The sequence below is a fragment of the Homo sapiens genome, chromosome 5 (genome assembly GCF_000001405.40).
Source record: "Homo sapiens chromosome 5, GRCh38.p14 Primary Assembly".
In the NCBI taxonomy this organism is placed as follows: domain Eukaryota; kingdom Metazoa; phylum Chordata; class Mammalia; order Primates; family Hominidae; genus Homo; species Homo sapiens.
The window spans coordinates 16,542,950-16,555,500 of NC_000005.10; the positions used below are offsets into that span (position 1 = coordinate 16,542,950).

General features: G+C 40.6%; 1 protein-coding gene across 2 annotated transcripts in view, besides 1 other annotated feature; it reads right to left on the reverse strand.

The window, feature by feature from the left end:
• RETREG1 (reticulophagy regulator 1) overlaps positions 1–12,551 on the reverse strand; it is a 143,945-nt gene that overhangs the window by 69,897 nt on the left and 61,497 nt on the right. The gene's annotated exons all lie outside the window — the stretch shown is intronic.
• Positions 9,771–10,065: a silencer, noted in NCBI's record as "tiled region #7449; HepG2 Repressive non-DNase unmatched - State 12:CtcfO". NCBI's record gives its function as "represses a minimal TATA promoter and a strong SV40 promoter by Sharpr-MPRA in HepG2 cells {active_cell/tissue: HepG2}" and the evidence as "EXISTENCE:reporter gene assay evidence [ECO:0000049][PMID:27701403]".

A 12,551-nucleotide genomic window follows, 5' to 3' on the forward strand; every position in this document is an offset into this window, starting at 1 on the left:
TCACCTCCCATAGTTTTCTGGTACCCCTTTTAATGCTTCCCTGCACCATTCCTTCCCTTCCAAGACAAGAACGGGTCTGCTTTGTCACTGTAGATTAGTTTGCACTTTTAGAATTTCATACAAATGGAATCATACAGGATGTACTCTTTTTTATCTGGCTTCTTTTATCCAGCATAATTACCTTGAGATTCTTTCATGTTATTTGATTTGTATCAATAATTCACTCACTTTTATTGTTGAGCAGTATTCCACCATATGGATATACCACAATTTATTTATGCACTCACCTCTGCTGACAGATAGTTTCGGCTATTACAAATAAAGCTGCCGTGAACATTTACATGCGGACCTGTTTTCATTTCTCTTAGCTAAATATCTAAGAGAGGAAGTTGTTGAATCACATGGTAGTTGTATATTTATCTTTTTAAAAAAACTGCTAAACTGGGCCAGGCAAGGTGACTCACGCCTGTAATCCCAGCACTTTGGGAGGCCAAGGCAGACTGATCACATAAGGTCAGGAGTTCGAAACCAGTCTAGCCAACATGATGAAACCCTATCTCTAGTAAAAATACAAAAATTAGCCGGGTATGGTGGTGCACGCCTGTAATCCCAGCTACTTGGGAGACTGAGGCAGGAGAATCACTTGAACCCAGGAGGCGGAGGTTGCAGTGAGCCGAGATCGCGCCATTGCACTCCAGCCGGGGCGACAGGGAGAGACAACATCTCAAAAAAAAAAAAAAAACTGCCAAACTGTTTGAGAAAATGGTTATACTATTTGATATTCATTCTCACCAGCAATATATAAGAAGAGTTCCAATCACTCCACATCCTCACTAACACTTGGTATGGTCAGTCTTTTTTCCATTTCATCCATTCAAATCGGCATAGTGGTATCTCATTGTGGTTATAATTCGCCACTTTACTGACTAATGATGTTGAGCATCTTTTTATGTGTTTATTTTCTTTGTTGAAGTGTCTGTTTAAATCTCTTGGATTTTTTATGGGTTTGTTTATTGCCAAGTTTTTTTTTTTTTTTTTTTTTGGAGACGGAGTCTCACTCTTGTCACCCAGGCTGGCATGCAGTGGCTCCATCTTGGCTCACTGCAACCTCCGCCTCCTGGGTTAAAGCAATTCTTCTGCCTCAGCCTCCTAAGTAGCTGGGATTACAGGCGCCCACCACCACACCAAGCTAATTTTTGTACTTTTAGTAGAGACGGGGTTTTGCCGTGTTGGCCAGGCTGGTCTCCAACTCCTGACCTCAGGTGATCCGCCTGCCTCAGCCTCCCAAAGTGCCGGGATCACAGGCATGAGCCACCATGCCCAGCCTATTGCCAAGTTTTAATAGTTCTTTATACATTCTGGAAAAAATGTATTTTATCAGATATATGATTCACAAATATTTTCTCCCAATCTATGCCTTGACTTTTCATTCCCTTAGCTATGTCAGTTAAACATCAAAGGTTTGTCATCTTGATCAAGTCCAATCTATCAAATTTTTCTTTTGTGGATCATCCCAATAATATTGTATCTAAGAAATCTTTCCCTAACCTGGGGTTATGAAGACTTTCAGCTGTGTTTTCTTCTAGGAGTTTATGGATTTAGGTTTACATTTAGGCCCATGTTCCCTTTTGAGTTAATTTCTGTTTGTGGTACAAGGGATGGATCAAAGTTCATATTTTTGCATACGGGTATTAAATTTTCCTAGAACTATTAGTTGGAAAGGTGATCCATCCTTTTACCAATGAGCTGCCTTTGAACCTTCGTTGGAAATTAGTTGTCATGCATGCGTGTGTCTATTTCTGGACTCTCTGCTTTGTTCCACTGATCTATTTACTGCACTGTCTTGATGACCACAGCTTTATAATAAGCCTACTCACTGTGTTTTAGCCAATAAGCAAAATGAGGCCTAGAATGCTGAACTGCTTTGTTCAGACTCCAAAGTTTCTTCCACTGGGGCCACATTATCTCCTAAGGTTTTACTCTTTTACAAATAGGAACAAAATGTATGCCAAGAAAACAATTAGCTTATGTGACAACATATGAAAATACATTTTACTAAAAATACAGCCTTATTTTGAGAGGAAAGCAGGCTTCAAATCAATTAAAAATAAGCTTTGAATAACAGCAAAGCAACACATTTCAATTGCAAAAGCACAGCTCACCTCTCCAGTATGTGGAGAGTCCTGTGAATCAGGGCTACTTCCAGCTCGGGTTCCCCTACAAGCTCTTCCAGCTCCAATCCTCAAATTCTGCTTGCTTCCTCATTCTTGCAATGTGATGAAAACATTTTAAAATTCTTGTTTGAAATTCCTAACCATACCTTTATTTTCCTAAATACTGTTTAAGAAGCTATGAGCTGGGGAAAGATATGCACTGTTTGATATGGGATATGGTAGAATGCTGAGGTGAAGCCCATTGGTGTTAGAGGGGGAGAGAGGCAGGAGTGAAACCCATCAGTCTGGCCAAGTCCCTTAAGGAAGCTTTGGTGTCCTTGTCTTTGAAAGGGGGCTGCTAATTCCTGCCTCATGGAATTGTCTTGAGGATAAATTAGGTAATACGCAGAAAGCATTCAGCACAGTGCCTGGCAAATACTAAGCACTAAGAGAGGACAGTTAATTCACAGTTTAGCAGCAGCAGCAGCAGCAGCATCCACTATCCTCCCCTTCCCTGGGTGCCCCTCACTTGACTCCAAGCTCCCTGTCAGCTTCCTTTGATTCCTAGGAGGCTTTAAGTTGCTTCTGTTCCTGGGAACGTCTTGGTTCCTGTTCCTAGCATTTCTTTCTCTCAGCTTCCATAAGATGCCCCAAGTCCAAATAATAATTCCTCCTTTGTTGATGCTAGACCGAGGGCATTTCTGTCTGTTGTCAGCACAGAAGCTTCCTCAGAAAGAAGGGTAAATTAGCTCTTCAGAGCCACCGTTCCATGTGTCCAGGATGCTTCTCCTCCAGGGCACTGAGCACAGTCACTCTAGGTAGCTAGGGAAGGAGAAGGCATGCTGGATGGGAGGCAGTGCTGGGTTACAAGAGGCAGCATGCCGTGCAGATGTGAGCTAAACCCTTTCCCTTTCCATGAGAGAATCCCGATTTTATGCCTGCACCAGTCATATAAAGCAAAGAGGTGAGATACAATGATTGAAATCCCAAGAAAGAAACAAACATGAAAAAGAAAACAATTTCCTTTGGTCTATCTGTTTTTCCACTGCACAAATCTTGAAATTTTATATCTTTTTTTTTTCTTACACAGGGTCTGTCTCTGTTGCCTAGGCTGGAGTACACTGACATAAACACAGCTCACTGCAGCCTCAAATTCCTGGGCTTGAGTGATCCTCCCACCCCAGCCTCCCAAGCAGCTGGAACCACAGGCGGTGTACCACCATGCCCAGCTAATTTTTCGTTTTTTGTAGCAACTTGGCCTTGCTATGTTGCCCAGGCTGGTCTGGGACTCCTGGCCTCAAGCCATCCTCCTGCCTTGGCCTCCCAAAGTGCTGGGATTACAGGCACGAGCCAATGCACTGGGCCAAAATTTTATATTATTGAGATAAATGTCTGACTTTAGAAAAGAGTAAGTCATTAGAAGCAACATGTTGCCCCAAAGATGCTGTGATAGTAGAAATAGGAGACACATGCTTATAACAGGTGGTTAGAAAACAGGAATAAAATAGGGTGCTGATTAAATACAAATAAAAATTGGTGCCAGATTCCAATTTTGAAATATTAATCAGTGTGTACAAAATAAATGTGGTGGCCTTCTTCAGTCATCCCTCCCCCTCCTACCTTTTTTCCTGCTTTGTCTTAAAATCATCATTTCAATGAGCAAAACAGAAATCTATCTAAATATCACCATGGACTTGTTCCCTTCATGGCCTGATGAACCAATGAAAACTTCTGATGATGATGTAATACTTACAGCTATTTTTATTCTGGTGGCACAGACTCTCTCTTTATGTAGAGCAAATAGCAACAGAATCTCTTTAGAGTTACTTCAAAGGTGAATTCCACAGCTTCAAAGCCCAACCATGGACAACTCTCTTGTTATTTCTACCACCTCTCTGATATCAGAGACCTTTTCCCCATGTTCTGACATCAACGGAAATACAACAAAATCTTGACACAATGCGAGGGACCGTTCTATAGGTCCGGCAGGGTCTGCCTTCTGCAGAGCAGGTATTTAATAAACAATGGAAGTCTACAGCTCAAGACACCCACAGGGAAGGTGGCCCCAAAGTTTAAGCAGGAATCTAAAACAGCAGCTTTGTCAGAGACCGACAGGGTGACTGTGGAAAGTGTCACCTCCTTTCTCTACTCACAACCAAAGTGTTTCATACCATTACAAATATCACAAGAAATTCAAGGGAAGAATTTCAGAGTCAGGCCCAAGATAAGAGCTATTTTATCCGAGGAAAACATAGATGACTAATGAACTCCTGAACAGAAAACAGGGGTATTTGGTTTCTTCCAAATAAAAATAAAACCTTTGGTACATTCCACATTCCCTTTCAACCATCTTCCCGCAGAGCCTGGAACTGTTGGCGCTCTTAACTTTTGTTGAAAACCATGAGTATTAGCAACAATGGGAATTTAATTTATGGCCCAAAAATAAATAACTTATGTTTCAGTAGCATTGATTTAGGCTGCAGAAACAGGCGTGAGACTTTGCCAAAGAATATATCTGATTCTTCCAAGTTCCCCTTTCAATGTGTACAATGAGGCCCTTCTATAAATATAAAGGTACATGATGTGTTCAGTCATGTAACGGCAGGTTTTACAAACCCCTTTAGCTCTGAATATGTGAACACGCACACATATAACATTTTAACGTCAAATCTGCCAACAATTTTATAATCTGATGTTATTAGTGGGTAAAACTGTTCTGGTTTTGAAAGAGGGAGAAATAATCAGGTATTGAGTACATTCTTTGAAATTAATGCTGGATAAAATTAATAATTATGGTAAAAAAAATTCAAGCAACACCAACAAAACACTGAGGGTTAGAAGAACGTATTTAAAGTAGCCATCTTTAAAAATAAATGGGGAGATTGGACTTATAAGCTTATATCCTATAAGTACATAAATATATATATATCTACACATCAAAAACTATTCTCAAGAGCTTTGAAAGACACTAAATACAAAATAAAAACACACAACTCTATGAAATAAAGAATTCCTACCTAATAATGTAAAAAAATTCATATCAGATTAAATTATAAGACTCATTTCTTTACTCTCTTATAGTAGTGTTATACGTCCATACTCTCACCATGGCCTTGTGTGGCCAAAGGTATTTTTCCCTTCTTGGCTTTGGACTTGGCCATGTGACTTGCTTAGGCCTCCTGGTTATCAGCAGGTGGAGGCGTGAAATGTACCTGAGTTACTGGGTTTGTGCTCTTATGCCCCTCCTGCCTTTGTCCATGAGAATAACACACTTTAAGTAGCCTCTGGTCCAATGAGGCTGAAAGACTGTGGAGTAAGCTTGGATGCAACCCAAATCTTAAAGCCAAGTCCAGCCTAAACCAGCTGAACCCCAGTTGATCCACAGAAACATAAGCAAGAAATAAATGTGCATTGTATGACACCGAGATTTTATGCTTGTTTACTGTAACCTAGCCATACCTGGCCATACTCAGTCCTTACACAATAAAAAGAAAAGTACAACAAATGAGGGAGTCATAATGTATTCATTATTAATGTGGTTTCTGTTTGGTTTCCCATGAACAGCTGATTAAGAAAAATGTAAAGGATCTTGAGAATACTGTTATAACCTTCTTGACTGAAAATATTTTAAACAGATACACCTTACTATTTTGTCTGGATTCTCTCCTTCTATAACATAAATGAGGAGCCATAATCAATCAGACACCAGGGTGGTGAGGGGAGCGTGAGCAGGACTGCTTAGCAGAACTGTGAGAAATAAATATCTGTTATTTAAGCCACCCAATCTATGGTATTCTGTTACGGCTGCCTGAGCAGACTAAAATCAAGAGAATCCCAGGCCAAGAGGCCATGCAAAATCTAGGTGGTGAGTACCAGCAGTGTCACTGACACAGTAGCAGAGCTGAAAGCCCTGTCCAAGCAGCCTCATCATCTTCTCACTGGCCTCACCCTATTTCTCAAAATCACTTGCTTGCCAGAGAAGAGCTTTTTTTCTATTCCAGAAATCAGTTGGCAGTATTTAGAGGAAAAGCTTTCTCTTGAATTTAGCTACCTTTCTGATACTGATAAAATTATCGATCCCATATTCTAACCAGCTTGAGGAAATTCATTTATTACAAGCTGTGTATTCCTTCACTGTTGGAGGACTGTCATGCCTTCATCAAAGAACAAGACGAATTTATAAGCAATGTGTAGCTAACTTTCTAAGTGCTCTACACAGAGAGCACAAACAAACTCCTCAAACTGGGATCACTTCCCCCCCTATTTCCACTAGGGAAGTAGAAATGGTCCATCTCAATCACCTATGTATTTATTGAACCGCTCATATATTAATATAAGTAAAACTGTGGAGAAAGGTGGGCTTTTCTATTCCTGTTTAATAAAAACTTGGGATAGTCCTACTTTGACCCCCTAGATCAGTTTCAGGCCTATTTCTCAATTTAAAAATAAAGTTTCTGTTCCATTTAGACATTCTCTCAATTACTGAGTCTTCATTATATATTCCAAGCATGATACATCCATTAAAATCCCTTGGAAGCAAGATTATTTCATCCAAACTTAGCCCCAGGGGAACAAAAGTATTTAAATGTGCAATTTATTCAACATAAACAGCAGTTCTGACTTGAGGATGTTCAGCTTAATAAGCTATGGAATTCAGTTTTCGTGCCACAGCAGATGACTCCTGAGTCATGATTGAAAATATCACTCATTTTAATAAAGATTGTAATAACTGGCCCCCCAAAATAAGGAAAACATCAAAAACAATCTAGAACATGTATTTTCTGTGTTCGTGAAAATATGATGCAAAATCTGAGGTCTGTAGTCCAGGAGAAGTAAATAGTGAAAGTACTGCTCGGGCGTTAAAGTGACATGAGATGGCTCTGAATGTTATAGTTTAAAAATACTCTCCAAGAATACAAGCCAAATGACTGCAGGATTATAAGTCCTCTCTCCCAGTTGTTCAGGTATTAAAAACAGGCACAAGTAAGAATAACCTTCAACAGAACTAATAAACAGCACGTGAGTAATAATGCAATACACCCCAGTGAGGATACTACACCATGACACCCCAGTGAGGATACTACACCATGTATCTTTTCCTCTTTTTGCCAAATACCTCTAAATAATAATGTCGACTTCCTTCCTTCTGCATAGTCCCTCCTCTTTAAAATTTAAAAAAAAAAAAGCGTTAAAGGAAATATGATTTAAATGTCAAATTAAGGGCACATTCTTGGGTTCCTCCCTTAGAAGCAATGCTCTCACTGCTGGAGGTACTGATGGTGCCTAGAATTCAACTTCCCCAGCTGCCATTACAGCATCTGCAGTTACTTAATGCTATCGTCAATTTTCCAATATTTATGGATGATGAGCCACGCCCATCATCTGCCAGTCCACCTGTCCCCCAGACATAACTCTGCCCCCTTGTGGCAGATCAGACTCTACTGCAAGCTGCCAGGCTGCATGCAGAAAACACTGCCTGGTGGACAAAAGCCATCCAGCCCTGCTGCATGCTTCTTCCCCTTCACCTACAGAGTCAGCTCTCACTATTTTGAAAACAAAACCAAACAAAATAAAACCGAGCTGCTCCCTACTCAGAATAATCAAAAGACGGGAACAACCTGAATGTCCGTCAACTGATGACAAAGCAAAATGTGGTCTATCCAAATGATGGAATAGTATTCAGCCATGGAAAGGAATGTAGTGCTGATAAGAGCTGTAACATGAATCAACCTTGAAGATATTATGCTAATTCATATGTTGCATGATTCCATTTATATGAAATATCCAGAATAGGGCAAATCCATAGAGGGGGAAGCAGTGGTTGTCAGGAGCCGCAGGGAGGAGGATACGGGAATTGACTGCTTAATGGTTACAGAATTCCTTTTGGGGTGATGGAAATGTTCTGGAACTAGACAGTGGTGATGGTTGCACCACCTTGTAAATGTACAAAATGTCACTCAGGGTAAATTTTATGTTATATGCATTTTATCACAATTTTTAAAAATAACAACAAAAGCCATGCTACTCTTTTCCCGGTCACTGTTTCATTTTTCTCCATTCATTTACCAGCAATATTTTCCAAACTGTGATTCACACTACCTACCTCCATTTTCTCAGCCCTCATCTCATCCTCAGGCCCTTGAATTTGGTTTTTCACTCCTAAAAAGCTCCTTCCCCTCCTCCTCCACACATATAAACAAAAAAACATGGAGAACTGTTGATAAAGGCCTCCAAAAACATTTTTATACAATCCAGTGACTTTCCCTGGTGCTCTTAGAACCCAGTTAATGCTGACTCCTTAAAACACTCTTTTTCCCTGGCTTCCAAGCATGGCATCTTCATGACTCTTCTTGACTACCTTGGCCATGTTGGTTCATTTTTCATCAAACCTTCTTATTTCTACTTGCCCAGTAAGGACATTCTCCCAGGCCCATTCTTGGCTCCCTCCCAAAAATGTTACCACCCCATGTCACTCTAGCCCTCCTTGTTTCAGGATAAGCTCTCCCACAAATCAGGGTCAAACTTCATTCTTTCATAGATGGAGACATGAGTTGGAAAAACTGCCCTCTACATTTCCAAATCAAAGCTGGTTCTTTCACATCATAAGAAATACTAGATTAGTTTCCTATTCCTGCTGTAACAAATTACAAATTTAGTGTCTGAACACCACAAAAATCCATCATCTTGCAGTTCTGGTGGCCAGACTCTAATCTGGGTCAGCTGGGATGCATTCCTTTCAGAGGCTCTCGGGGAGATGGTGTCTCCTGGCTTCTTCCAGCTTCTAGAGGCCACCTGTTTTCCTTCACTCATGGTCCCTAGCTCCATAGTCACAGCCTGCAGCCTCGCATTGTCTCTCTTTGACCTGCCTCCTTCCTAAAAGAACCTTTGTGATGACATGGGGCCACCTGGATACTCCAGGATCATCCACCCATCTCAAGATCCTTGATCCCATCTGCAAAGTCCCTCCTGCCATCTGAGGTCATGTATTCACAGGTTCTGAGTTACGGTATGGACTTCTTTGGTGTGGATGGGACTATTCAGCCTGCCCCAAACACACAATGGTGTGGAAGACGTTCTTTAGCAGCTACTGCTCTTGTACACTCTTCTAACAAGCAGGAACCTTTGCCCTCAGTATTTAACAGGTTAATTTATGCCTGGGAGCCAACAACTCACTAATACCCCCTCTTTCCACACAATCACTTGCAAATTAAGTTATTTTCTAGGATTCACAATTCAAGATGATCTGGAGTCCTCAAGAAAAGGAAAATACTAAGTCAAAAGACTAAGTCAAAGAGCAAGGAGGGAAGGAAAGACTTTGGAGAGCACAAGATAAACAACATTCAAAAGATTTTATATAAGACAGTGGATAGAAACAAACAGTAAAAGGGTCATGAACTCAAAGTACCATTTAGTTCTTAGAGACCTCACAGATGCTTAGCTTGTTTGTCAACTAAAAAACACAACCATTTGTCATTGATTCATGTCATTCATTTGTGAATTTCCTGCCCACCCCCACTTTCTCTGTCATATTCTCCATTGATCTATCCTTCAATCACTTCTCTTAGTTAGTCCCTGTTAATTTTTTTCACTCCCCCTACTACTCTAAAACATATGAGTATCCATGCACACCTGTGCACACAGGTACAGGTATAGAAGTCACCTTTCATCGGACTTTCTTCTTGTAACTAGAACAACGTTAATGCTTTTGCCCTGCTGGAATGTGTAGGTACTAATCACACTTTGGAGCCACACGGCTGGGTTCTGCAGTAGCCAAACTATTCTTAGCTTCTCTGAAACAGATGTCCCATCGCTCACACCCCCTCTAGTGGCAGCCAGCCCTAGAACAGGGCTGAGCATGCACAGACTAAAGACAAAAAAACCTCCCAAGAACTCACAAGAATATTTCCATGCTAGGTGTCACAGCCCTTGTATTGGTATAAATTTTACACAACCTTTCAAATATACAATATTCTGGCTTTGGGAACTGTTCACTTTAAGCATTAGGCATCTACCTTTTTCCTTTAAATGACCATTTGTACTGCCATATCGTAAACTCAGAAACAGAAACAGTGCACACTATGGAAAAAAAAATCCAAAGTCAGTGCAAAAAGAGCAGATAAATAAGTTGTGATATAGTCCACATGATGGAATATCGTACAGCCACAAAATATGAATGAACTACAGCTATACACAGCAACACAACTGATCTTTTTAAAAAACGTGTAAGAAAAAAAAACACTAGTCCTAGAAGAGCACATAAATATGGTACCATTTTGATACACCTCAAAAACAAAAACTTTATTTAGGGATACATATATGTGATTTAAATATATAAATATTCATACTTGGTTTAAATATATACATGTTTATATTTTGTTTAAATATATATCTATACTTTGAATATATAAACATTTATACCTTGTTTAAATATATAAATATTTAGATTAGATTTTGTTTAAATATATTTAGATTTTGTTTAAATGTATGAATATTCATATTTCATTTAAATATAAGCGCGGCTTTTTTTTGAAAAGCAAATGAATGAGGAGCACAAACTTCAGGACCATGCTTGCTTCTGGCAGGCAGCAGGACGGGGTGGGCGGGGGAGCAACTGTATCAGTCCTGATTGGATAATAGGTTCATGTATATTCATTTTATTATGTTTTACAACTTATATATATATTACAAATATCATTCAGTATATTCAATATGATCACTAACATGTACCTAAGGAACATATACAGGTAGGCCGACAGACAGACAGACCTGCCCACTGACAGAACCCAGGGATAGGTTGTTGAAAGAGAGCACGATATTCTCTCAGATTCCCTCTTGTTGTCCAAAGACTACAGTTCGGACCATGAGGATAAGATTTAAATCTTATTCTGGATAATGCAAAGAGTTTCCAAATCTTGAAACATTTTTGGGTTTACACCTAAGTCACCAGAATATGCATTCAACCCTGTCACTTGTACCTGGAGGCTGAACCTTTGAGCTTGCCTCTGAGCCTCAAAAAGCAAGAATTTAAGAACTTTGATCTCACCTGACCTTGGAAATAAATCATTTTTCTTCACCCCAATCCTGTGAGACTTTGTGTCAAAAGACACTCGGCCTGGCTGGGCCCCCCACCTGGAATGATGCTGACATTTCCGAGGCTGGAACCTCTCCGTTGAGCCTCGCTTGTTTCTCTGGACTTTGTCCCTGACCTTGGATTCCTATGACTGGGCCGTGCCAGTCTCTCTCCTGTAACCAGCGCCTGCCTCTCCACAGCAGCTTGGGAGCCGGAGCCCTGGGCACTCAGGTGAACTAAATGCCAGGTGCTGCTGCCTGCAGAGTGCTGGTTGTCACCTCCCCACATTCACCCTGCCTGCGGGCACACCCTCTTTTTCATTGAATGTCTTTTGTTTCCCCTCTTGATAAAAGAATGTTCATTATAGGAAAAATAATGTAATAAGGGTGAACAAAATCAAGAAAATAAAAAACACTTATATTCCCCTCACCCTGAGATAACTACATTTATGTACCAACATACAATTATGATGTACTGCGCATATACCTCACTGCGCTTACTTTAAATCTACAATTTTTGATACAAAATTAACAATAAAGGATGATCTTTCGTGTCCCTATATATTCTTCTACAACATGATCTTTATTGGCTACATAATATTCCACTGATCCCAGTCACTATGGCTACATACCATGAATAACAAAATAAAACAAAACTTACTGGTATAACACAATGGTCACCCTCACACAAGCCCGGGCCTTGGGGCCTTTGCACTCCCTGTTCCTGCCGCCTAAAAGCTCTTCATACAGACGCAATCTGCAAACTCACCTTCAAGTTCTTGTTCAAAAATCTCCAGTAACATCTTTCCTGAGTGCCACATTACAAACTGGACTCTCCCTGGCCCCTCACCACTCCCTACTCCCTCTTCTGCTTTAGTTGCCACTCAACCCATTTCACCATCTAACATCATATTGCAGTAATTATTTTCTGACTCACTAACTAGAATATAAACTCTACAAGGACAGGGTTGTCTATTTATTAATTTATTTTTATTTTTGAGACAGAGTCTCACTCTGTGACCCAGGCTGGGGTGCAGTGGCGCAATCTGGGCTCACTGCAACCTCCATCTCCCAGGCTCAAGCAATTCTCCTGCCTCAGCCTCCCAAGTACCTGGGACTACAGGCGTGAACCAACACACTCGGCTACATTTCTGTATTTTAGTAGAGACGGGGTTTCACCATGTTGGCCAGGCTGGTCTCAAATTCCTGAGCTCAGGCAATCTGCTTGTCTCAGCCTCCCAAAGTGCTGGGGATACAAGCGTGAGCCACCACACTTGGCCTGTTTTTACATTTTTTCCCTTTCACAAATGCTGAGAAGATGGTCTGACA